Source organism: Homo sapiens, chromosome 19 (assembly GCF_000001405.40).
Source record: "Homo sapiens chromosome 19, GRCh38.p14 Primary Assembly".
In the NCBI taxonomy this organism is placed as follows: Eukaryota; Metazoa; Chordata; class Mammalia; order Primates; family Hominidae; genus Homo; species Homo sapiens.
Window position 1 is genome coordinate 40,028,260 of NC_000019.10, and position 27,972 is coordinate 40,056,231.

At 39.7% G+C, this 27,972-nt stretch overlaps 1 protein-coding gene across 17 annotated transcripts, besides 2 other annotated features; it reads right to left on the reverse strand.

Annotated features, from left to right (window-relative positions):
* On the reverse strand, window positions 1-27,972 carry ZNF780B (zinc finger protein 780B). 17 transcript variants are annotated; one of them, XM_017026426.2, is made up of 6 exons: window positions 27,930-27,972; window positions 27,157-27,225; window positions 22,065-22,118; window positions 20,411-20,537; window positions 19,116-19,211; window positions 1-8,367 (listed from the first exon to the last, which is right to left on the reverse strand). In XM_017026426.2, exons 3-6 carry the CDS (start codon window positions 22,071-22,073, stop codon window positions 6,098-6,100), a joined length of 2,502 nt encoding a protein of 833 aa, XP_016881915.1. In that variant the 5' UTR covers window positions 22,074-22,118; window positions 27,157-27,225; window positions 27,930-27,972; the 3' UTR covers window positions 1-6,097. The 17 variants fall into 17 exon arrangements, with proteins under 17 accessions (XP_016881915.1, XP_047294293.1, XP_016881914.1 ...); XM_047438337.1 differs by having other exon boundaries at window positions 19,116-19,214; XM_017026425.3 differs by having other exon boundaries at window positions 27,157-27,317.
* Window positions 7,282-8,481: an enhancer, noted in NCBI's record as "P300/CBP strongly-dependent group 1 enhancer chr19:40541448-40542647 (GRCh37/hg19 assembly coordinates)". NCBI's record gives its function as "activates an origin of replication core promoter dependent on BRD2, BRD4, P300/CBP, MED14 and CDK7 cofactors, with strong dependence on P300/CBP, by STARR-seq in HCT116 cells {active_cell/tissue: HCT116}" and the evidence as "EXISTENCE:reporter gene assay evidence [ECO:0000049][PMID:35650434]".
* Window positions 27,832-27,961: an enhancer, noted in NCBI's record as "active region_14637". NCBI's record gives its function as "activates an Ori minimal core promoter by ATAC-STARR-seq in GM12878 lymphoblastoid cells {active_cell/tissue: GM12878}" and the evidence as "EXISTENCE:reporter gene assay evidence [ECO:0000049][PMID:35858748]".

Consider the following 27,972-nt stretch of genomic DNA (forward strand, 5'->3'; position numbering starts at 1 on the left):
TACATTTTTTTTTGCCAGTTTTATTAGAAAATGAGTTTGCAGAGCCCCCCCATCTACCATCCAGAAGTGGAACTACATATAGTCATTTAACAATAGTTTAGCATTTTCTGTCATCTCATTCTGGAGAATCATAGATGTGGCAGAAATACATATTCTTGAAGAAAAAAAATGTCTCCCTTATGGGTACTGTGATTTCAATAGGGTGTGGGATAAGTACATGACAACATGCATGGGATAGACACTCTGTTCTCTACAGATCCGTGCTTTGGAATTACAGAACATAAAAGATATAATGATGGTTATTACTTTTTACATGTGACAATCTAGTTGTAGCGTTTAAGATTAAATTTGGTTGTGAGTAAAATAGTAAAACTGCCCCAAATTAAAGTGGATAAAATATAATAAAAGTTAATTTCTCTGTCATATAATATGGATGTAAGCCTGATACTGTGGCCTTGCTCTAAACCAATCATGAATTTTACCATTCTGGCATCAGAATGGAATGAGCACTCAGACTTATACAGAACTTGGAAGAATAGTAAATAATTCTGGTTACCCTTCACCCAGATTTCTCAAATATTAATATATTAAGCTAGTTTGTTTTAAGAGGTTTCCAGAATTGCCAAAATATTCACTTACATCCTACTTGCCATAAGTTATGTCACATGACAACACCTTGGAGAAATAACTGCAGTCCTTATTCTAGATAGTCACAGCCAACTATCAATAAAAATTACTGGTTCTATAATCATGAAAGCAGGGTAGAATGGATATGCGGGCCTAATAAATAACAGATCCTGACCCACTGAGGAATCCTGGAGATGGTTTCATTTTGATCAATTACAAATGAAGACAGTGAATCCCTGAGACCACAACTTGTGCAGAAGACTCATTGAAATGGAATGGTATTCTGGAAATTAAGACACACAGGTCCGTTATCCCTCATACCCCAAGCTGGATGATCACAATACCCTGTAAAAGGATGACAGAAATCTTGTGTCTACTTTTTCTTCTTTTCTGGGGAGTCTATGAACATTCAAGATAACATCCATGACTGAATATTCTAAAACAAGTTTCTTTACAACGCTGCTCAGAAACACCATGACAAATTTAAATCAGAGCAATATCTCCAAAAATGGGAGGCAGATTAATGTATCATTTCAGCCAGGCCTTAAAAGGAGATAAACTTCTCAGCTATCACCATACATAAAACATAATTCAATAAAATACCAAATGCAAACAAGAGCAGATCATAGAAATGTAAGTTGAGAAAATTCAGAGGGAACTTCTGACCTTAGGATGACATTTTCAACTCTGAAACTATTAAAAGAATTCTAACAAAAGCAGCATCTTTTTTTCCATACCTGTAACTGCCATGTGCACTCACAGCAGCCAGATTTTTTGGTCTCTAATTCTTTTTTCCTCTAAAAGGAACCAGGACTCCCTAAGATAAGAGGGTATTAAATCATGAGTTGATTCCATGACTCAGGACAAGAGGCATGGGGGACATGAACCAACAAACAGGGTCAGTCTTAAACATCCTCTTACGGCCTGAAAACAATATTCCTTTAAAACATCAAAAGAAAAAAATAAGTAGTAAAAAAAAAATGTAAATGGATTCCTACTGGCCACATTATGTCAATTTGAGCATAAATAATAATAATTACTACAGGTGCTTCTCAACTTACGGGGAGTTATGTCCAAATAAACCCATCATAAATTGAAAACATCATACACCATATGTGCATTTATGGTCTACAATATTTTCAATTTAACAATGGGTTTATCTAGATATAGCCCCATTTTAAGTCAAGGAGCATACTCTGACTGAGTATGTCTTAGTTTTGTGTTGCTATAAAGGAATGTCTGAGGTTGGGTTATTAATAAAGAAAGAGGTTTATTTGGCTCAGTGTTCTGTAGGATTTACAAGAATCATGGTGCAACATCTGCTTCTGGTAAGGGCCTCAGGCTGCTTCCACTCATGGCAGATGAAAGGGGGCAGTGTATGCAGACATCACATGGCAAGAGAGGAAGCAAGAGGGTGAGGAAGGAGGTGCCAGGCTCTTTTGTACAACCAGCTCTCATAGGAACTAACAGAGTGATAATTCACCCCCCAATCCAGAGAGGACATTAATTTATTCATGAGGGATCTTCTCCCATGACCCACACACCTCCCATTAGGCCCCACCTCCAACATTGGGATCAAACTTCAATATGAGATTTGGAGGGGATAAATATCCAAACTATAGCAGCATATCACTTTTGTACTATTATAAAGCTGAAAATTATAAGTCAAACCATTTTAAGTTGGGGATTACAGGCGTGAGCCACCGTGCCTGGCCGTGATTTTTAAATTTGTACATACTTGGTTTGTAACTTTAACAAATATATTAAAGTGTTTTATTATGTTTGCAAAGGGACTCTGACTTCCAACATAGTACTGCCATGATTGCATGATGATAGAGTTTCACCGAAAGGCTGCCAGGGATCTTTCTGACAACTCTTAATGATACTACCGGGATGTGCAATGACCCAGAAAGGAGTTGTGCTAGGTTAATACCCAGGGACTCTGCTGATTTCAAAGAAGAAAGTTCAAGAGAATGGATAGAAAAAAGATGAAACTGGAAATAAAAAATAGGAACATAAGATTTGAAAGCCAAGTTTTATATAATCTTGTTTTATAAGTTGTATAACATCATTGCAATATCAATACCTGAAAAATACTTGGAAAATTATAACTTTACTTATGATTATAGATGCAATTAAATGGTAAAAGATAGAATTAAGTAGTCTATTGAAAGAATAATCATCTGACCAGGGTATATTCATAAAAAGAAGAAAGCTATCAATATAAATTATCACTTTATAGATTTTTCAACACAATGGAATAAAATCACAAAGGATTATTCTTAATCTTAAAAAAAATTTAATCTAATTCATGATGCCACATCGGTATCATGTTTTGTTTTGGGGTTTTTTTGAGATGAAGTCTCACTTTGTCGCCCAGGCTGGAGTGCAGTGGCACGATCTTGGCTCACTGCCACCTCCACCTTCCAATTTCGAGTGATTCTCCTGCCTCAGCCTCCCAAGTAGCTGGGATTACAGGAATGCACCACCATGTCCAGCTAATTTTTTTATTTTTAGGAGAGATGGAGTTTTGCCATGTTGGCCAAGTTGGTCTCAAACTCCTGACCTCAGGTGATCTGCCCACCTTGGCCTCCCAAAGTGCTGGGATTACAGGCATGAGGCCACTGCTCCCGGCTTAATGGTATCATGTTTTACAGCTTGATTTAAAGGGTTAATATTTTTTCAAATTTTTATCAACAGCTCATGTACCAGCCATGGTATAGGTGCTGGTGATAAATGCTGAACAAAAAAGAGGTTCCGGACAATCTTGGCTCCCTATACAATCCAAAGGGTGCCAGTTTTGTACTGAGTACAGTGTCAGCCATATCACACAAGTTGAATTATGTTGACGCTTTAATGGCATTCATTTCTCAATAGTCTATTTCAATTTTCATTTTGTATTCAATCCAGGGCTTAAGTACACGTGACTATAACTTTTCAGAGATGACAACGTCTCTCCATAGATTACTTACCCACTACAAACTAAATCTTTACAATGGACTTACGGCGGTTACCAGCTTACCCAAATGATCATCCTTAGTTTCACTAATGCAAGGACCTGTACTTAAATGTTTTCTGACAGTACAATATGACATAGAAATAACCTACAAAGTATTCTTCCCCAAAACGTTTAATCTAGACCTAAGAAAGCCTCTGGACTTACTTTCCCTTGTAAAGAAAATACAACCAAGAACAAGGCTAAATGACACTATAAAGAAAGAAATCTAAACACATAGCCAACAACATTTCTGGGCTACTCAAAATTCAATGTCATTTTTTTAAAATGAGAAATGTTCTAGACCAGTGGCTCTCTAACTCTGGTTGGTATCACAGACACAAAACCTGGAGAAATAATAAAAAACAGAGGCCCAGGCTTATAAACTAGGGCTACACTTCTGTAGGTTTACTAAGTTCCACAGGGGATTCTGATACCCACCATAATTTGAGAGCATACTTTCATGGGGTTTCCATGCTACAATACACTAAAGAGAGATAACCAAATGCAATGCAGAATCTGCAATGGACTCTCCTTAGAAAATGAATAGCTGTAGGCCAGGCATGCTGGCTCATGCCTGTAATCCCAGCACTTTGGGAGGCCAAGGCGGGTGGATCACGAGGTCAGGAGATCGAGACCATCCTGGCTAACAGAGTGAAACCCTGTCTCTACTAAAAATACAAAAAATTAGCTGGGCATGGTGGCGGGTGCCTCTAGTCCCAGCTACTCAGGAGGCTGAGGCGGGAGAATGGCGTGAACCCAGGAGGCAGAGCTTGCAGTGAGCCCAGATCGCACCACTGCACTCCAGTCTGGGCGACAGAGCGAGACTCCATCTCAAAAAAAAAAAAAAAAAAAGAGAAAATGAATAGCTGTAAAAGATGGTTTGCAGGCCAAGGAAGAAATCTGAAGATGGAATGATATTACAGAATTATGAATATTTTCCTTAAGGGTAATTATGGTACTATGGTTATATGATATTGTCTTTATGTTTGGGTAACACACATGCTGATGTAACAAGGAGTAAAGTGTCATGATATCTAAAACTTATTCTCAATGGTCTAAAACTTATTCTCAATGGTACAACAAATATACAAAAAATAAATGTGGCAAATTGTTAACAATTTTGAATCTAGGTGGGGGGGATATGTGTATATATTTTACTATTCTTTCAAAACCCACAACAATTATCAACTAGGTTCACCATCTTTTATGGGCAGGATTTGTGGTATCCCCAAACAATTACACTAGTAACAATTACACTAGTAATCAAAAAACACTGGTCACAGATCACCATAACAGATTTAACAATGAAAAAGTTTGAAATATTATGAAAACTAGCAAAGTGTGACACAAAGACATGAAATGTGCATATGCTGTTTGGAAAATGGTGCTGATAGACTTATTCACTGCAAGGTTGCTGCAAACCTTCAGTGTGTATAAAATGCAGTAACTGCAATGCACAATTAAGCAAGGTACGCCTGTATCCAGTAAAATATTTCACGGGCAGTAAACTGTGAACATGGCAGCTACTCTACATTCCTCACATCAGTAACTTTCTCACCAAAATTATCTTCTCTGAACTCTAAGGCATTTAGTGTGGCTATAAAATATCCCACATTCTTTACACTCAAAGGAGTTCTCAGCAGTATGAATACTCTGATGTTGAGCAAATCCCAGGCCACGATGAAAGTTCTTCACACATTCTTTTATGTTCACAGGATTTCTCATCAATATGAATTCTCTGGTGTTGAGTAAATTTTTCATACACAGTGAAGGCTTGTCTACACTCCTTATATTCATAAAACTTCTAACTATAATGAATTTTCTGATGTTGCGTAAGCAGATCATTCACAGTAAGGGTTTGCTCACATTCTTTACATTCATAGGGTTTCATGCCAGTATGAATTCTGTGATGTGCAGAAAGGACTGAACTAAGTCTAAAGGTCTTCCCACATCCTTTACATTCACAGGGTTGCTCACCAGTATGAATTTTAACATGTTGAACAAGGCTCGAGCTACAAGTAAAGGTCTTTCCACATTCTTTACATTCATACGGTTCATACCAGTATGAATTCTTTGATGTGCAGTAAAGACTAAGCTAAATCCAAAAGTTTTCCACATTCTTTACACTCACAGGGTTTCTCAGCAGTACGGATTCTCAGATGTACAGTAAGATCATAATTACTGCTAAAGGCCTTTTCACATTCCTTACATTCATAGGGTTTCTCATCAGTATGAATTTTAACATGTTTAACAGGTTTGAACTATGACTAAAGGCTTTCCCACATTCTTCACATTGATATGGTTTCTCACCAGTATGAATTCTCTGATGTACTCTAAGGTTTCTACCACTGGTAAAGCATTTCCCACATCCTTGACATTCATAAGGGTTCTCACGAATATGAAATCTATAATGTCCATGAAATTGGTAATGATATTGAAAGGCCTTCCCACATTCCTTACATTCAAAGGTTTTCACCCAAGTATGAATTTTCTGATGTTCAGTAAGTTGCTACTGATGTCTGAAGGCTGTCCCACATTTCTTACATTCAAAGGGTTTCTCACCTGTACAAGTTTTTGATGCAGAGAAAGTTGTAGGTGAAGTCTAAAAGCCTTCCCACACTCCTTACATTCATAGGGTTTCTCACCAGTATGAATACTCTGAGGTTGAACAAGGTTTGAGCCACGATTAAAGGCCTTCCCACACTCCTTACATTTAAATGGCTTCTCACCAGTATGAATGATCTGATGTTGAGCAAGCTGTGTCAGAAGACCAAAGGCCTTTCCGCATTCTTTACATTCAAAGGGTTTCTCACCAGTATGAATTCGGTAATGTTCAGTAAGCTGGTAATGATATCTAAAGGTCTTCCTACACTCCTTACATACAAAGGGTTTCGCACTGGAATGAGTTTTCTGATGCTGAATAAGGTTTGAAACACGACTAAAGCCTTTCCCACACTCCTTACATTCATATGGTTTTACACCAGCATGAATACTCTGATGTTGAACAAGGTTTGAGACACGATTAAAGGACTTCCCACATTCTTTACATTTAAATGGCTTCTCACCTGTGTGAATGTTCTTATGGTGATTAAGCTGGGTGTGAAGACTGAAGGCCTTGCCACATTCCTTACATTCAAAGGGCTTCTCACCAGTATGAAATTTCTGATGTCGAATAAGGTGCATATGAAGTCGAAAGGCTTTCCCACATTCCTTACATTCAAAGGGTTTCTTTCCGGTATGAATACTTCGATGTTGATTAAGATTTGAACCACGACGAAAGAATTTCCCACATTCCTTACATTCAAAGGGTTTCTCACCTGTATGAGTTTTCTCATGTTGAGAAAGTTGTAGGTGAAGTCTAAAAGCCTTCCCACACTCCTTACATTCATAGGGCTTCTCACCAGTGTGAATACTCTGATGTTGAACAAGGTTCGAGCCACGATTGAAGGCCTTCCCACAGTCTTTACATTCAAATGGTTTCTCACCAGTATGAATGTTCTTATGTCGAGCAAGCTGTGTCAGAAGACTAAAGGCCTTTCCACATTCTTTACATTCAAAGGGTTTCCCACCAGTATGAATTTGGCAATGTTGAATAAGTTGGTAATGATATCGAAAGGCCATCTCACATTCCCTACATACAAAGGGTTTCTCATTGGAATGAATTTTTTGATGCTGAATAAGATTTGCACCACGATTAAAGCCTTTCCCACACTCCTTACATTCATATGGTTTTACATCAGCATGAATACTCTGGTGTTGAATAAGGTTTGAACTACGATTAAAGGACTTCCCACATTCTTTACATTCAAATGGTTTTTCACCTGTGTGAATATTCTTATGGCGATTAAGCTGATTGAGGAGACTAAAGGCCTTCCCGCATTCCCTGCATTCAAAGGGCTTCTCACCCATATGAATCTTCTGATGTCGAACAAGCTTTGTCAGAAGAGTAAAGGCCTTTCTGCATTCTTTACATTCAAAGGGTTTCTCGCCAGTATGAATTCGGCAATGTTCAATGAGTTGGTAATGATATCGAAAGGCCATCTCACATTCCCTACATACAAAGGGTTTCTCATTGGAATGAATTTTTTGATGCTGAATAAGATTTGAACCACGATTAAAGGCTTTCCCACACTCCTTACATTGATATGGTTTTACACCAGCATGAATACTTTGATGCTGAGTAAGGTTTGAGCTACGATTAAAAGACTTCCCACATTCCTTACATTCAAACAGTTTCTTAACTGTGTGAATGTTCTTATGGCGATTAAGCTGGGTGGGAAGATTAAAGGCTTTTCCACATTCCTTACATTCAAAAGTTTTCTCACCAGTATGAAATTTCTGATGTCGAGTAAGTTGTATGTGAAGTTGAAAGGCTTTCCCACATTCTTTGCATTTATAGGGTTTCTCTCCAGTATGAATACTCTGATGCTGAATAAGATTTGAACCACAACTAAAGTATTTCCCACATTCCTTACATTCATATGGTTTATGTGTATTATGAATAGGAGAAGCATGAGTATAAGCAGGCATTTCTTCATAGCTGATGATCTTCTGGTTGATATATCCTTCTTGATGTCCCTGTCGTCCCTCAAATCTACTTCTATATTCTGAGTCATTTCTAAAATAAAAGGCCTCGAGGCCAAGTGTTTTACTTATTTGCTTTATAACATGTTTGGGTAAATTTATTTCAAAAATATCATTTTCTGGAGATATTTTCTCAGGTCCATATTTTGACTCCAAATCTGAAAGAAATGAAGAAGGCAAACCTATTTTATTTTCCTATAACATACATGCATACAAAATCCATTAAACAAATGGCCTAAGTATAAAATATAATACTTTCAGGGAAGGGATCTGAAAAAGGAAAAGGGTGCCAATAATGAATTTATGTAAGATGGTGGTGTGCATAAGGGAACAGGTTAACTTTGTCAAATTTAGGTGTGAATCAAAACCATTTGGTAAGATTAAATATATTGATATTCAAGCAACTCAGATGTACAGAATCAGAATTTTTAGTGAAGAAAGCTTTTTTTTTTTTTTTAAGACGAAGTTTCACTCTTGTCGCCCAGGCTGCAGTGCAATGGCACAATCTCAGCTCACTGCACCCTCTACCTCCTGGGTTCAAGTGATTCTCTGGCCTCAGCCTCAGCCTCCAGAGTAGCTGGGATTACAAACATCTGCCACCGTGCCTGGCTAATTTTGGTATTTTTAGTAGAGACGAGGTTTCACAATGTTGGCCAGGCTGGTCTGGAATGCCTAACATCAGGTGATCCACCCACCCTGGCCTCCCAAAGTGCTGGGATTACAGGTGTGAGCCATTGTGCCTGGCCTCTATTTTTTTTTTTTTTTTTTAAGAGACAGGGTCTCTCTCTGTTGCATAGGCTATAGTGCAATGGCATGATCACAGCTCACTGCAGCCTCAAACTCCCAGGCTCAAGCAATCCTCCTGCCTAAGCCTCCCAAGTGGCTACAGCTACAGGCACATGCCACTAAGTCTGGACAATTTCTTTTTCTTTAGTCTTCCTGCAGTCCAAAGTCTGGCTAATTTTTACTTTATTTTTATTTTTACTTTGTAGAGATGGTGTCCCACCATGTTACCCAAGCTGGTCTTGAACTCCTGGCATCAAGCAATCCTCCTGCCTTGATCTCCCAACATGCTGTGATCACCAGTGGGAGCCATCACACCCAGCCAAAGCTGTATTTTTAATATCTCTACCAGATGATTCTGATTCAGATCAAAGTTTACAGATCATACTTAAAACTGGTTTTGAATGGTTTATCTTTAGTCTTAGCACAAAATCCAAAAACCTTAACACAGAGAACAAAACTTCCTATCAGGGCACTGTCCTCCTTTGTGGCTGATCTCTAACCACTCCCTCCTTTTAGCAACCAGAACATGATATAACCTTTCTCTTATCTTCTTGCTTGCTTAGACTGCTTCATCTTCCAAGAATCGTCTGGCTTTGCTCTTTGTAACAAACATCCAACTCCTCTTTTTTTTTTTTCTGTTTATATATATATATTTTTTTAATTTTATTATTATTATACTTTAAATTTTAGGGTACATGTGCACAATGTGCAGGTTTGTTACATATGTATACATGTGCCATGTTGGTGTGCTGCACCCATTAACTCGTCATTTAGCATTAGGTATATCTCCTAATGCTATCCCTCCCCACCTCCTCCCACCCCACAACATTCCCCGGAGTGTGATGTTCCCCTTCCTGTGTCCATATGTTCTCATTGTTCAATTCCCACCTATGAGTCAGAACATGTGGTGTTTGGTTTTTTGTCCTTGTGATAGTTTGCTGAGAATGATGGTTTCCAGTTTCATCCATGTCCCTACAAAGGACATGAACTCATCATTTTTTATGGCTGCATAGTATTCCATGGTGTATATGTGCCACATTTTCTTAATCCAGTCTATCATTGTTGGACATTTGGGTTGGTTCCAAGACTTTGCTATTGTGAATAGTGCCGCAATAAACATACGTGTGCATGTGTCTTTATAGCAGCATGATTTATAATCCTTTAGGTATATACACAGTAATGGGATGGCTGGGTCAAATGGTATTTCTAGTTCTAGATCCCTGAGGAATCGCCACACTGCCTTCCACAATGGTTGAACTAGTTTACAGTCCCACCAACAGTGTAAAAGTGTTCCTATTTCTCCACATCCTCTCCAGCACCTGTTGTTTCCTGACTTTTTAATGATCGCCATTCTAACTGGTGTGAGATGGTATCTCATTGTGGTTTTGATTTGCATTTCTCTGATGGCCAGTGATGATGAGCATTTTTTCATGTGTTTTTTGGCTGCATAAATGTCTTCTTTTGAGAAGCGTCTGTTCACATCCTTCGCCCACTTTTTGATGGGGTTGTTTTTTTCTTGTAAATTTGTTTGAGTTCATTGTAGATTCTGGATATTAGCCCTTTGTCAGATGAGTAGGTTGTGAAAATTTTCTCCCATTTTGTAGGTTGCCTGTTCACTCTGATGGTAGTTTCTTTTGCTGTGCAGAAGCTCTTTAGTTTAATTAGATCCCATTTGTCAATTTTGGCTTTTGTTGCCATTGCTTTTGGTGTTTTAGACATAAAGTCCTTGCCCATGCCTATGTCCTGAATGGTATTGCCCAGGTTTTCTTCTAGGGTTTTTATGGTTTTAGGTCTAACATGTAAGTCTTTAATCCATCTTGAATTAATTTTTGTATAAGGTGTAAGGAAGGGATCCAGTTTCAGCTTTCTACATATGGCTAGCCAGTTTTCCCAGCACCATTTATTAAATAGGGAATCCTTTCCCCATTGCTTGTTTTTGTCAGGTTTGTCAAAGATCAGATAGTTGTAGATAGGCAGCATTATTTCTGAGGGCTCTGCTCTGTTCCATTGATCTATATCTCTGTTTTGGTAACAGTACCATGCTGTTTTGGTTACTGTAGCCTTGTAGTATAGTTTGAAGTCAGGTAGTGTGATGCCTCCGGCTTTGTTCTTTTGGCTTAGGATTGACTTGGTGATGCGGGCTCTTTTTTGGTTCCATATGAACTTTAAAGTAGTTTTTTCCAATTCTGTGAAGAAAGTCATTGGTAGCTTGATGGGGATGGCATTGAATCTATAAATTACCTTGGGCAGTATGGCCATTTTCATGATATTGATTCTTCCTACCCATGAGCATGGAATGTTCTTCCATTTGTTTGTATCCTCTTTTATTTCCTTGAGCAGTGGTTTGTAGTTCTCCTTGAAGAGGTCCTTCACATCCCTTGTAAGTTGGATTCCCAGGTATTTTATTCTCTGAAGCAATTGTGAATGGGAGTTCACTCATAATTTGGCTCTCTGTTGGTCTGTTATTGGTGTATAAGAATGCTTGTGATTTTTGTACATTGATTTTGTATCCTGAAACTTTGCTGAAGTTGCTTATCAGCTTAAGGAGATTTTGGGCTGAGACAATGGGGTTTTCTAGATATACAATCATGTCATCTGCAAACAGGGACAATTTGACTTCCTCTTTTCCTAATTGAATACCCTTTATTTCCTTCTCCTGCCTAATTGCCCTGGCCAGAACTTCCAACACTATGTTGAACAGGAGTGGTGAGAGAGGGCATCCCTGTCTTGTGCCAGTTTTCAAAGGGAATGCTTCCAGTTTTTGCCCATTCAGTATGATATTGGCTGTGGGTTTGTCATAGATAGCTCTTATTATTTTGAGATACATCCCATCAATACCTCATTTATTGAGAGTTTTTAGCATGAATTTTGTTGAATTTTGTCAAAGGCCTTTTCTGCATCTATTGAGATAATCATGTGGTTTTTGTCTTTGGTTCTGTTTATATGCTGGATTACATTTATTGATTTGCATATGTTGAACCAGCCTTGCATCCCAGGGATGAAGCCCACTTGATCATGGTGGAAAAGCTTTTTGATGTGCTGCTGGATTCGGTTTGCCAGTATTTTATTGAGGATTTTTGCATCAATGTTCATGAAGGATATTCGTCTAAAATTCTCTTTTTTCGTTGTGTCTCTGCCCAGCTTTGGTATCAGGATGATGCTGGCCTCAAAAAATGAGTTAGGGAGGATTCCCTCTTTTTCTATTGATTGGAATAGTTTCAGAAGGAATGGTACCAGCTCCTCCTTTTACCTCTGGTAGAATTCGGCTGTGAATCCATCTGGTCCTGGATCTTTTTTGGTTGGTAAGCTATTGATTATTGCCACAATTTCAGAGCCTGTTATTGGTCTATTCAGAGATTCAACTTCTTCCTGGTTTAGTCTTGGGAGGGTGTATGTGTCGAGGAATTTATCCATTTCTTCTAGATTTTCTAGTTTATTTGTGTAGAGGTGTTTGTAGTATTCTCTGATGGTAGTTTGTATTTCTGTGGGATTGGTGGTGATATCCCCTTTATCATTTTTTATTGCATCTATTTGATTCTTCTCTCTTTTCTTCTTTATTAGTCTTGCTAATGGTCTTTCAATTTTGTTGATCTTTTCAAAAGACCAGCTCCTGGATTCATTAATTTTTTGAAGGGTTTTTTGTGTCTCTATTTCCTTCAGTTCTGCTCTGATTTTAGTTATTTCTTGCCTTCTGCTAGCTTTTGAATGTGCTTGCTCTTGCTTTTCTAGTTAATTGTGATGTTAGGGTGTCAATTTTGGATCTTTCCTGCTTTCTCTTGTGAGCATTTAGTACCATAAATTTCCCTCTACATACTGCTTTGAATGTGTCCCAGAGATTCTGGTATGTTGTGTCTTTGTTCTTGTTGGTTTCAAAGAACATCTTTATTTCTGCCTTCATTTCGTTATGTACCCAGTAGTCACTCAGGAGCAGGTTGTTCAGTTTCCATGTAGTTGAGTGGTTTTGAGTGAGTTTCTTAATCCTGAGTTCTGGTTTGATTGCCCTGTGGTCTGAGAGACAGTTTGTTATAATTTCTGTTCTTTTACATTTGCTGAGGAGTGCTTTACTTCCAACTATGTGGTCAATTTTGGAATAGGTGTGGTGTGGTGCTGAAAAGAATGTATATTCTGTTGATTTGGGGTGGAGAGTTCTGTAGATATCTATTAGGTCTGCTTGGTGCAGAGCTGAGTTCAATTTCTGGGTATCCTTGTTAACTTTCTGTCTCGTTGATCTGTCTGATGTTGACAGTGGGGTGTTAAAGTCTCCCATTATTATTGTGTGGCAGTCTAAGTCTCTTTGTAGGTCACTCAGGACTTGCTTTATGAATCTGGGTGCTCCTGTATTGGGTGCATATATATTTAGGATAGTTAGCGCTTCTTGTTGAATTGATCCCTTTACCATTATGTAATGGCCTTCTTTGTCTCTTTTGATCTTTGTTGGTTTAAAGTCTGTTTTATCAGAGACTAGGATTGCAACCCCTGCCTTTTTTTGTTTTCCATTTTCTTGGTAGATCTTCCTCCATCCCTTTATTTTGAGCCTATGTGTGTCTCTGCATGTGAGGTGGGTTTCCTGAATACAGCACACTGATGGGTCTTGACTCTTTATCCAATTTGCCAGTCTGTGTCTTTTAATTGGAGAATTTAGCCCATTTACATTTAAAGTTAATATTGTTATGTGTGAATTTGGTCCTGTAATTATGATGTTAGCTGGTTATTTTGCTCATTACTTGATGCAGTTTCTTCCTAGCCTTGATGGTCTTTACATTTTGGCATGTTTTTGCAGTGGCTGGCACCGGTTGTTCCTTTCCATGTTTAGTGCTTCCTTCAGGAGCTCTTTTAGGGCAGGCCTGGTGGTGACAAAATCCCTCAACATTTGCTTGTCTATAAAGGATTTTATTTCTCCTTCACTTATGAAACTTAGTTTGGCTGGAATGAAATTCTGGGTTGAAAATTCTTTCAAGAATGTTGAATATTGGCCCCCACTCTCTTCTGGCTTGTAGAGTTTCTGCCAAGAGATCCGCTGTTAGTTTGATGGGCTTCCCTTTGTGGGTAACCCGACCTTACTCTCTGGCTGCCCTTAACGTTTTTTCCTTCATTTCAACTTTGGTGAATCTGACAATTATGTGTCTTGGAGTTGCTCTTCTCGAGGAGTATCTTTGTGGCATTCTCTGTATTTCCTGAATCTGAATGTTGGCCTGCCTTGCTGGATTGGGGAAGTTCTCCTGGATAATATCCTGCAGAGTGTTTTCCAACTTGGTTCCATTCTCTCCGTCACTTTCAGGTACACCAATGAGACGTAGATTTGGTCTTTTCACATAGTCCCATATTTCTTGGAGGCTTTGTTCATTTCTTTTTATTCTTTTTTCTCTAAACTTCTCTTCTCACTTCATTTCATTCATTTTGTCTTCCATCACTGATACCCTTTCTTCCAGTTGATCGCATCAGCTCCTGAGGCTTCTGCATTCTTCATGTAGTTCTCGAGCCTTGGCTTTCAGCTCCATCAGCTCCTTTAAGGACTTCTCTGCATTGGTTATTCTAGTTATCCATTCGTCTAATTTTTTTTCATAGTTTTTAACTTTTTTGCCATTGGTTTGAATTTCCTCCTGTAGCTCGGAGTAGTTTGATTGTCTGAAGACTTCTTCTCTCAACTTGTCAAAGTCATTCTCTGTCCAGCTTTGTTCCATTGCTGGTGAGGAGCTGCATTCCTTTGGAGGAGGAGAGGCACTCTGCTTTTTAGAGTTTCCAGTTTTTCTGCTCTGTTTTTTCCCCATCTTTGTGGTTTTATCTACTTTTGGTCTTTGATGATGGTGACGTACAGATGGGTTTTTGGTGTGGATGTCCTTTCTGTTTGTTAGTTTTCCTTCTAACAGACAGGACCCTCAGCTGCAGGTCTGTTGGAGTTTGCTAGAGGTCCACTCCAGACCCTGTTTGCCTGGGTATCAGCAGCAGTGGCTGCAGAACAGTGGTGGCTGTAGAACAGTGGATATTGGTGACCCGCAAATGCTGCTGCCTGATCGTTCCTCTGGAAGTTTTGTCTCAGAGGAGTACCCGGCCGTGTGAGGTGTCAGTCTGCCCCTACTGGGGGTTGCCTCCCAGTTAGGCTGCTCGGGGGTCAGGGAAACACTTGAGGAGGCAGTCTGCCTGTTCTCAGATCTCCAGCTGCGTGCTGGGAGAACCACTCCTCTCTTCAAAGCTGTCAGACAGGGACATTTAAGTCTGCAGAGGTTACTGCTGTCTTTTTGCCCTGCCCCCAGAGGTGGAGCCTACAGAGGCAGGCAGTCCTCCTTGAGCTGTGGTGGGCTCCACCCAGTTTGAGCTCCCCGGCTGCTTTGTTTACCTAATCCTGGGCAATGGCAGGCGCCCCTCCTCCAGCCTTGCTGCCACCTTGCAGTTTGATCTCAAGACAGTTGTGCTAGCAATCAGTGAGACTCTGTGGGCATAGGACCCTCCGAGCCATGTGCGGGATATAATCTCCTGGTGTGCCGTTTTTTAAGCCCATTGGAAAAGCACAATATTAGAGTGGGAGTGACCCGATTTTCCAGGTGCCATCTGTCACCCCTTTCTTTGACTAGGAAAGGGAACTCCCTGACCCCTTGCACTTCCCGAGTGAGGCAATGCCTCGCCCTGCTTTGGCTTGCACACAGTGCGCTGCACCCACTGTCCTGCATGCACTGTCTGGCACTCCCTAGTGAGATGAACCCGGTACCTCAGATGGAAATGCAGAAATCACCCATCTTCTGCATCGCTCATGCTGGGAGCTGTACACCGGAGCTGTTCCTATTCGGCCATCTTGGTTCCACCCCTCTAACTCATCTTTTAAGCCTTAGGATAAATGTTTTCCTCAGAACATCTGAATGAATGAATAAAGCCACCGTAACATATGGGACATCATAAAACAACAAAATATTTGAATTTTTGAGGTCCTAGAGACAAAGAGAAAACATAAAGGATAGAAAATCTATTTAATGAAATAATAGCAGGAAACTTTCCAACTCTAGTAAGAGATGCAGACATCTTGATACAGGAAGCTCAGAGATACCCAAATAGATACAATACAAAAAGGTCTTCTCCATGGCATATTATGGTCAAAATATAAAAGTCAAAGACAAAAGAGAATACTAAAAACAGCAAGAGAAAAGCATCTAGTCACTTACAAGGAAACTCTCATCAGCCTAACAGCAGATTTCTCAACAGAGAGAAATGAGAGAGAATGTGATTATACATTCAGTGTTGAAAGAAAAAAATCACCAGTCAAGGACACTATCCTCAGCAAAGTATTCTACAAAAATGAAAAAGAAATAGTCTTTCCCAGACAGCAAAAGGTGACAGAATTCATCACCACTGGACCAACCCTACAAGATATGTTCAAGAGTCCTACACCTAGAAGTGAAAGGACAATATCTACCATTGTGAAAACACACAAAAGTATAAAACCTACTGACACAGCAAACATACAAATAAGGACAAAGGACTCAAATGTTACCCCTAAAGAAAACAACCAAACCACAATGATAAAAAATAAAAGAGAAAGGAACAAAGGATAAACAAAACAACTAGAAATCAATTAATAAAATGATAAGAATCAGCCCTCACATATCAGTAATCACACTGAACGTCAATGGATTAAACTTCATTTAAAAGATACAGACGGGCTGAATGGATGAAAAAACATGATCCAACTATAAGCTGCCTACAAGAAACTCTTCTCACTGGTAAAGACACATATGGATTGAAAGTAAAAGAACAGGAAAAGATATTCCATACAAATGGAAACCAAAAGTGAGTAGAAATAGCTACGTTTATATCAGAAAAAAACAGATTTTAAGTAAAAAACAGCAAAAAGAGACAAAGAAGGTCATCATATAATGATAAAGGGATCAATTCAGCAAGAGAATATAACAATTCTAAACATATAACACCAACACCAGAACACCCAGATATATAAGGCAAATATTATTAGAGCAAAAGGGAGAGAGATACTACAGTATAATAATCACTGGGGACGTCACTGTGCCACTCTCAGAATTAGATCATCTAGAGAGAAAATTAACAAAGAAACATTGGGTTTAAACATACCTGAGAGGATGAGGGAAAAAGGGAACTCTTATATACTGTTGGTGGGATATAAATTAGTACAATCACTATGGAAAACAGCATGCAGATTTCTCAAAAACCTGAAAATAGAACTACCATATGATCCAACAATCCCACTACTGGGTATTAATCCAAAGGAAGATAAAATCAGTATATCAAAATGATACCTGCACTTGTATGATTACTGTAGCATTATTCAAAATACCAAAGGTATGGAATCAACCTAAGTGTCCCCCAACAGACAAACAGATAAAGAAAATGTGATATATACACATGGAATACTATTCAGGCATTTAAAAAATGAAATCATGTCATTTGCAGCAACATGGAGGGAATCGGAGGTCAGAAAGACAAATATCAGACTGGGCGCAGTGGCTCACACCTGTAATCCCAGCACTTTGGGAAGCCGAGGTGGGTGAATCACCTGAGGTCAGGAATTTGAGACCAGCCTGGCCAATGTGGTGAAACCCTGTCTCTATTAAAAATACAAAAATTAGCCAGGCGTGGTGGCAGGCACCTGTAATCCCAGTTACTCTAGAGGCTGAGGCAGGAGAATTGCTTGAACCCAGGAGGTGGAGGTTGCAGTGGGCCAAGATCGCACCACTGCACTCCAGCCTGGGCGACAAGAATGAGACTCCAACTCAAAAAAAAGAAAGACAAATATCATATGTTCTCATTCATATCTGGAGGCTAAAAAAAGATCTCACAGAGGTAAAGAATAGAATGATAGAAACCAGAGGCTGGGAAGGGTGTGTGGGTGAGGGGTGGGGGATGAAGAGGAGTTGGTTAATGTTACAAACATACAGTTAAATATGAGGAATGACTTCTAATGTTCATAAGCAGAGTAGAGTGACTCTAATTAACAACAATGTATTGTATATTTCAAAATAGCTAGAAGACTTGAAATGTTCCTATCAGAAAGAAATGATAAACCCTCCTCTGGTGGATCTGATGGATACCTCAAATACCCTGACACTTGTTCATTACACCTTCTATGCATGGAACAAAACATAACATGTATCCCATAAATATGTACAAATATTGGGTATCAATTAAAAATGAATAAATAACTCTTGAAGAACTTCCCACATTCCTCACAACGACAGTCAAAACCCTGTATGATACGACTCCGACGTAACTCTCAGACCTTTCTTCCCGCTGTTCCATTACTTACTCCACCTTTGTGTTTCCTGCTCAGTCTGACTAGAGTACTTGAACACTTACTTCACATCTCTATGCAAGCAAGCCCACTTCCAGACAGGTACCCTAAGCACCCAAGTGCTGCCATTCTCACCCCATCACTCCTATTTCCTTGTCTCTATAGCATGATTATTTGGTATTCCTTATCTATTCATTTGCTTACTTGTTTGAGGCATGTCTCACCAACTGCTGGTAAAGTCCATGACAGCAGTGACTTTCTCAGTCTTGTTCATTACCTGTACATTACAGTATTGACCAGAGCCAAGCATATGCCTTCTAGGAATGCGCACTCTATACATATTTACTGAACATGAATACATTTCTTAGTGAAAACACATGTAGAAATCTAAATGCAAAAGCAGAGTTGGAAAGTAGCTGGATCCAAAATACGTGTTAAAAGTTTACACTGGGGGCCAGAAGCATTGGCTCATGCCTGTAATTTCAGCTACTTAGGAGGTTGAGGCAGGAAGACTACTTGAGGCCAAGAGTTCAAGATCAGCTGGGGCAACATAGCAAGATGCTGCCTCTTAAAAAATAATTTTAAAAACTGTTTAAAGTTTACACTGGGAAAGAAAGAGGAAGCTCACTTCATTAAAAGAGGAAGAAAATAACAGAAATTAGGTGATTAGTAAATGATGAAGTTCCTTGGGGACAGCTCCTACAGTGATCTTATTTCCTTCCCAGGTCTTGGGCATTTTTGTCCAGTGGGGGACCTTGGGTTATTGAAGAAAGTTTTCCAAACCACATCTCAGGGGTGTGACTCCTCTCTGAGCACATGGGCTGTCCGGGACAATGATGGCTTCCCCCTGCCTGCTTTACTCTCACTTACCTGGATACCATCTGCTTGTTTCTTTACTTACAACAATCCAGGGCTCTTTCTCTTGCTCTAGTAATGTAATCACATCTGGCTTAGAAATGGAACTTCCTGCTTAAAAGAAATAACACATGTAGAATTTTTTTAATATAAAAATTTTTTTTAAACCCTGAGACCTAGTTAAACTTATAATAAATTACAAGCCAAAACAATATTGAGAAGAGACTCCAGATAAGAGAGGATTGAGTAAGGGATCAACTATGTTTAAAAAAAAAAAAAGCACTTTCATTTAAACTCATAATAGAAACTTATCCCTCAAGAGGAGGTATAATTTAGTGGTTAACAGCAGGAAACTTCAAGCCAGATTACCTGGTTGAAATCCTGTCTCTGCCACCCACTAGTACTTTGACATTAAGTAAGTCACTTGAACTCTCTGTCCTTCAGTTTTCCCAACTCTAAAACAGAAATATAATAATGCCTGTTTTATAGGATTGATACTAATATTAAATAAGGTAATATATGTAAAATACTTCTAACTCTCACTCATACGTAGTAGCACAAAGTTAAAAATTATTATGTTTATTGTCATTATTTATTTTGCATCCTTAGACATTTACAGCTCATTTTAAGAATTTTCACCCAACAGAAAAGCATACACTTCATGGCCTGAAACTTTCAACTACAAAACAAGTAACGGAAGGTCTGTCGAAGGAAATGGAATATACTGACTTAGTGCTAAATAAGTTCTGTCAACCCAATCAGTATATGTAAATCATTGAGGCTCTGTTTTGTTTTGTTTTTTTGAGACAGTGTCTTGCTCTGTTGCCCAGGCTGAAGTACAGTGGCATGACCACGGCTCTCTGCAGCCTTGACCTCCCAGGTTCAAGCAATCATAGAGGCTCTTTTAATAGAAAAACTCAACACACTCTTCTCCTTACAGGTGGGCCAGAAAAACAAAAACAAACAAAGAAAATCTACAGTAATTCTGAGATCAAACATAATATGAAACCTGGTTCTTGAACAATATCATTCAACGAATATACAAGATTTCAAATTCAGCCCCATGGTCATGAAGAGAGAGAGGGGATTACAGAGATGACCAGCATAATGGAGGAGGCCCTGGTGCAGTAGGCAAGATGCAGAGGCTCCAAGGAGGTGCCTGTTTTCAACCCAACAAATCTCAATCCATTCCTTCGGGAATAAGAAGAAGGAATCCAACTACCTCTTAAAAGACAGCCCTGAAACTCATGATGAAGAAAGCTGATATTCCAGAGAACAGATACAAAAATAACTGGGACCAATGACCTTACCCAGTGATATCAGGTGGCTGTAGTTCTCCAACATCACATCCCTGTACAAGGTCCTCTGATCAGGCTGCAGGCACTCCCACTCCTCCTGAGAGAAGTCAATGGCCACATCCCTGAATGTCACTGATCCCTGAAACCACAAACACATGGATTATGGTGAAATTGAAGAAAGTTGTTTCAAGACGAAAGGAGAGGAAGTGAAGGATTAAACTGCAATAAAGGAGCAATATGGAAAATCGCAGAGTGCCTACACATTCTTCAAGAATCCTGCTGCTGGCCTGGTGTGGTGGCTCATGCCTGTTATACCAGCACTTTGGGAGACCAAGGTGGAAGGACTGCTTGAGCCCAGGAGTTGGCAAACAGCCTGGGCAACATAACGAGATGCACTCCCTGGAAAAAAAAAAAAAAGAAAGAAAGAAAGAACTGTCGTGGTGGCATGTGCCTATAGTCCCAGCTACTTGGGAAGCTGAGGTGGGAGTATTGCTTGAGCCTGGGAGTTCAATGCTGCAGCGAAGTGTGATGGCACTACTGCACTCCAGCCTGGGCTACAGAGTGAGACCCTATCTCAAAAAAAAAAAAAAAAAAAAAAAAAAGGTGGCAGCATACAATTGAGGAATGCCGTTAATCCTCAAGCTTACTGTGGTATCAGATGATAGCAAAAGTATTTTTTCTTGTCATGACAAATGATTTTTATAAGCTGCGTAAAATTCAAAATAACTGACATATTAGATTTAGTCATATTTTTCTATTTATACATTTAAGATGGTCAGAGTCTCTAAGGTTTTCCCAAATTCAGAGAATCTGTAATCACCTACCACTCATGCCCTGAATAATCTCTGTTACTGCCCACTGTCCTCACTGATCACTTTCCTAAAAGCCTCATAAAGCAGAACACCTTGTCACGCTTGCAGACTGAGGCCACTCACTATGGAATTCTACCTCAGCTACCTAGAAAGCTCCAGTCTGTGGAGGAGTTTCAAGGTGTTCCCGAGTGTGGTCAAATGCGACAATCATCTGTAACTTATCAAACCCACAAGACCATGTTTCCCTGTGGGGACCAACTCCTCCACTGTTCCAACATTCTTTCTGACCAAGGACTGAGTTAAGCACAGACTGAATAACCTGCTCAAAGAAAACATCAAAGCCAGTGGGAAAACAGAGGTACGAATAGGAAGAGCACTGACTTTTATTTTTTGGTCACCAAACTTCACTGTAATGGGACAAAGTGGGGTGTAAGATTGTGGATCCTGGCCAGGCACAGTGGCTCACGCCTGTAATCCCAGCACTGTGGGAGGCCAAGGCAGGGGGATCATGAGGTCAGGAGATCGAGACCATCCTGGCTAATATGGTGAAATCCCATCTCTACCAAAAATACAAAAAATTAGCCAGGCGTGCTGGTGGGTGCCTGTAGTCCCAGCTACTCGGGAGTCTGAGGCAGGAGAATTGCTTGAACCTGGGAGGCGGAAGTTGCAATGAGCCAAGATCGCACCACTGCATTCCAGCCTGGGTGACAGAGCAAGACTCCGTCTCAAAAAAAAAAAAAAAAAAAAAAAAAAATCGTGGATCCTTACGTAAGAAGGTTCAGGTTTAATAATAACAGTCACCTAACCTAACCTGAAAGTCACCATATTTCAAGAAGACAGAAACACCAACTTACATGGACCATGTTTCTAGAATTACAAAATTGGTCAATCTTCCTCGGGCTTCTCCCCTGGAAAACAACAACAACAAAAAGGCCCTAAGTCAAGCTGTGTCCGAAAGCACTAGAACGAATAAATATTTTATCCTCCATTCCTATTTCTCAACTACTCCTGCTCACACGCACACTTCCACCCTTCTCCCGTCACTCCCTTTTTCCCTACACACACTCTCACAAATAAACTGGCAGTGAACAGGTGGAGTGTGGATGAAACCAAGCTCTCGCCTACATCCCAGGGAACCTGCGGCGGAAGCATGAATGCCGAGCACAGGCATTTCTGCCTTGAAGTTGTGGCTTCCAGCCAGTCCTCCACTCTTGGGATACCAATCTTGGCCTAGGACTGGGCCTCTGATCCTGCTGTAAGCAATCCTCCTCCCCTAGTCCACCTTTCAGAGCTGAGAAGGGCTTGCATCATCCAATCCAGAACCTCTTTGTGAACTCAGGATTGGGTGCAGTGGGGCAAGGCATGAGAACTGGAAAGGATATAGACAGAATTGCATGGGCAGTGTTCAGCATTCTGAGTTCACCAAAAGCCAGCTGGGGTAAGTACAGTTCAGAATAGCCATGTAATAGAATACAAAGTAATCATTAATTGTTCCAGACATATGATTAACAGAAAAATCAGGTTACAAAGCAGGATAAACAATACGATTACATTTGTAAAATATATGTATATAGAAATATTAAGCAAAAGACTAATAGACATCAATACAAAAATTTAGACAGGTATATGCATGCTAACAGTGCTTATCTCTGTATTGTAGCCCCAATTTTCTTCTTTTTGCTAAAGAGTATGTCATAATTGTGACTATGCCCAGGCATTTAACTTAGAATATATAATTATATTCACACACACACACACACACACATATATACACACATATACACATGTGTATGTATCTATATATGTACATATTTAAATGTACATACACATTTTTTTTCTTGCGAGGAAATTGTTCTCCAAATTAGATGAAAGACATCTTTTATTTAGACATTTTCCTTTCAACGTGGGGACAAAAAAAGGAAACTCTACTGAGCTCTTGTTTTTATGTAATAAATTTGTTTCCATTATTTCCCAATTCTTGACCAACACTAAGATGTCTATGTTTTTCTATGTATGTTAGTACAATTTCTAAAAAAAATTGTCTACAAGTCTTCAACTAATTTCTTGTATGCATTAATGATGGTCATATTTCTACATCCGAATTCAAAAATAAAAATAAAACAGAGTTAACAGAGAGTGAGTACTTTTAATCATAAAAAACAAAAAACTGTGCCTGTCATGAGGATCAAAAAGATTAATGTGACTATAACAAATAACATCAGCTAGTTCTGACATCCTTTAGCTGTATCTCACCAATATAATTAGACATTTTCATTATCAAGACTCTTCTCTGAATGAACACAATGCAGATAAGTGGCATCTGGAAACTACATGAGAAAATCTGTGGAATGTACATCACCATGCTTGGTTCCCTTCTTCACCAAATAACTCATTAAAATATCATTTTGGATACAATTCCTACAGAATGCCTTACAAAAACCCTATCTTAGTATATGGGATTCATATACATGTAACATTTTCTTGAGTATCATTGTTCATAGCATGAATACTGCTTAATGGTATATCAAATATTTTTCTTTTCATAATTCTTTATAGACATCATTTTATTAGCTGCATAATACTTTATCACTTGAGTCTAGTATAATTTGCTTAGTGATTTCCATATTACAGGACACTTGATTTATATAAGATCATTTACAGTGTCATTCCAGGTATCACAATCTTTTGATTCTAGACTAAGGTTTTTCACCCTAGGCACTAATGACATATTGTGCTGTATAATCCTTTGTTGGGGCTATAGGGAGGGTTATCCTGTGCACGGTACAATGTTCAGCAGTATCCCTGACCTCTATCCACTAGATCTAAGTAGCACCTCCCCCATGGTGTGACAACCAAAAGTTTTTAAACATCACCCCCGCTGAGAATCAATGTTCTATCTAGATCAATGGATCCAAACCTCATGGGTCACATACAGTTTTGATAGTCTTATGAAATGATATACTATTTCTCCCTCTAAAACCCACATTGATAAATTTCCATAGTACTTCAATACATTATTTCAAGAGCTTTGTGGTCCCCAAGACCATACGTGGAGTTACAAGAACTCAGATTAAGAATTTCAGTCCTACATTCTTGACAAAAATAGAAAAAAAAAAATCCTAAAATGTGCATAGAACCACAAAAGACCCAAATAGCCAAAGCAGTCTGGAGCAAAAAGAACAAAGTTGGAGGCATCAAACTACCTGACTTCAATATATACTACAAAGCTATAGTAACCAAAACAGCATGATACTGACATAAAAACAGACACCTAGACAAACGGAACAGAATAGAGAGCCCCAGAATAAATCCATATGTTTACAACCAACTGATTTTTGAGACAGGTGCCAAGAACATACAATAAGGAAAAGACAGTCTCTTCAATACATACTGTTGTGAAAACTGGGGAGTCATACACAGAAGAATGAAATTAGACCCTTTTCTCAAACCATTATACAAAAATCAACTCTAAATGGATTAAAGATTTAAATGTAAGATCCCAAACTATGAAACAAATAGAAAAAAACGTACGGGGAAAGCTTCATGACATTGATCTGGGCAATAATTTTTTTTTCTAGAAATGACTTCAAAAGCACAGGCAATAAAAGCAAACATAGACAAATGAAATTACATCAAGCTAAAAAAGCTTCTGCACAGCAAAGTGAAGAGACTACCTACAGAATGAGAGAAAATATTTGCAGTCATGTATCTAATAAGGGGTTAATATCCAAAACGTGTGAGGAACTCAACAGCAAGAAAACAACCCAATTAAAAAATGGGCAAAGGACCTGATAAACACATCTCAAAAGACGACATATAAATGGCTACAGTATATGAAAAAATACTCAACATTACTAATCATCAGGGAAATGAAAATTAAACCTACAATAAGATATCACCTCATATGTGTTGGGGTGGCTATTGAAAAGACATAAGTTAACAAATGTTGGTGAGAATGTAGAGAAATGTGAACCATTGCACACTGTTGGTGAGAATGTAAAGTGACACAGACATTATGGAAAACAGCATGGAGGTTCCTCAAAAAATTAGAAATAGAACCACCATATGATCCAGCAATCTACTACTGGATATTTATCCAAAGGAAATGAAATCTGTATACCAAAGAGACACCTGCACACCCATGTTTATTGCAGCACTATTCACAATAGCCAAGATATGGAATCAATCTAACTGTCTATCAATGAATGGATAAAGAAAATGTGGTATATATGCAGGTATATATACACAATGGAAAACTAGCCATAAAAAAAGGGAAATGCTGTCATTCGCAACAACATGGATGAACCTGGAGAAATTCATATTAAGTAAGCCAAGCACAGAAAGGCAGATGATCTCACTCATCAGTGGAATCTGAAAAATGTTCATATAGGCCAGGTGCGGTGGCTCACACTTGTAATCCCAGCACTTTCGAAAGCGGAGGCGAAGGCCGAGGCAGGCGGATCACCTAAGGTCCAGAGTTCGAGACCACCCTGGCCAACATGGCAAAACCCTGTCTCTACTAAAAATACAAAAATAAGCTGGGTGTGGTGGCATGCACCTGTAGTCCCAGCTACTCGGAAGGCTGGGGCAGGAGAATTACTTGAACCCGGGAGGCAGAGGTTGCAGTGAACCGAGATCACGCCACTGCACTCCAGCCTGGGCAACAGAGTAAGACACTCTCTCTCAAAAAAAGAAAACACTTGATATCATAGAATTAGAGAAGAGAATGGTGTTTACAGGTCGGGGGTAATGTGGGTGAGGGAGGGAAGATGGTGTTGGCTGGGGAAATGTTGGTCAAAGGATATAAAATTTCAGGAAGATAAGAGAAATAAGCTCAAGAAATCTATTACACAACAACGTATCTACTATTAATAACTACTATTAATAACTATTCTGTAGTGCTAAGAGAGTGGATATTAAGTGTTCTCACCACAAAAATGATAACTATGTGAGGTAATGCATTGCTAATTAGCTAGATTTAGTCATTCCACAATGTACATATACTATAAAACATCATGTTGCACACGATAAATACATACAATTTTATCTGTCAATTTAAAAAGAACTTCTGTCCTAGATCATTTGAGCAACTCACTCATTTTCTTACTATGCAAGCAGCAATCACAATGAATCACATATTCCCAATGCTCCTGTCCTATAGAAAGTCAAGGGAAATGACCTAAAATGACCACACGAAAACAAAAGCTAAAACATTAAACATTTATTATTATATGCCTAGCACTGCTCTAAGAGGTTTTAGAGTATTAATTCATTCTAATGTTCATTACAAGCCTGAGAAGACCAGAAACGGACAGAACAAACATTCCAACCCAGATACTCTGGATCCACTCCCCTATTCTTAACCGCAACAGCGTACTGCCTCTCACAGTTCACACAAATAGCCCAAAATGCAACCGGAACTGCCGAATCTCACAGAGATCTGGCAAGTATTACAATTATCATCTCATGGACTCTCCCGAAAAATCCTGACTCTGGTTGATACCAATTTCTGTGCAATCACTTTCCGATTCCTGAAAGCCTCACAGACGAATGGAAATCACCCAACCATCTCCATTCTTCCCTACTTGGAAAAGGAGGCCTGTAAAGAGTCAGAAACCTGGCGTGTGATTCCACAAACTAATCTTCTTTTCAAAGCAGAGTCTAAAATAAAGCTTTAATATAAACCTCTGGAGGACTATTTTTATACCAGCTTAGAAGAAGAGAGCGTACAGGAAGGTGTGAACGATTTGCCAAATGGCTCTGTGAATATTAAATGGCAAGGTGGGGAGCGGGCGGGGTGGGGAACGGCTCGCTGGGAGGCGGCACAATGGGAGGGGGCAAGAATCAATTTGCATATTCTCCTGAAATTCACTAAAAATTTACAGGAACCTCTATATTCTAAAATCAAAAACGCATTTCTTGAACAAATACAAAGCACAAACTCACCCTTGACTTAAGTGTGCAACAATAACGCTCTCATCCTCCTCTCGGTCCTTCTTTTGGATAATAATACGACTGGAGAAGGATACGGCAAGCGTGAGACTCCAGGCTTTTCTTGGAGCGCAGACTAAGTTTGAAAGCACCCTCCATGGCCACAACTTCCCTCACTTCGTACGAAATGAGAAGGAAATAAAAGGAGGAGGAATCGGTCTGAGTTCGAAGCTGGTTCCTGGGGACAGATCTCTGAGGGACGCTGGGTTCTCAACATGTAGCTGCCCTCCTGGGGGACCCTCAAGAGGCACTTCCAGCTCTCATATTCCCACCCCGAGTCCAGATCTGCGCCTTCTTGTGCAAAGCTTCATTCTCGGTTCAATATCTAACCTCCCTACTGGGGACATTTTCATTCCTCTGCTGCAGCCTCTGCAGCTTTGAAGGGGAAAGACGGAGGAAGCAGCAGGAGCCTAGTACCACCGGCACAGTGACACTCACACAGCCCCAGCAAAACGCACTGCGTCCACACGCCGTCCCGGTCCTGTGCACAGGGCCTCACGCACACACTCACACAGTCCCCTCCGTCACTCAAGATCGCGCAATCCCCATCCTTTGATGCCCGCGCACACGCACGCCTAAGGATCTGGCAGATTCCGTCTGCGCCCCGGGTTCCTCCTCTGAGCGCCTCGCTCTCGCCCACCCGCACTGCCGGGTCGGTCAGGTTCGAGTCCCAGTCCACGAAGACCTCCCGCAGCCACCGATTTCTTCCTAGGACGTGAAGACCTTACCCAGCTAGGTCGTCAACCCCAGGAGACAGGAAGTGGAACCGCT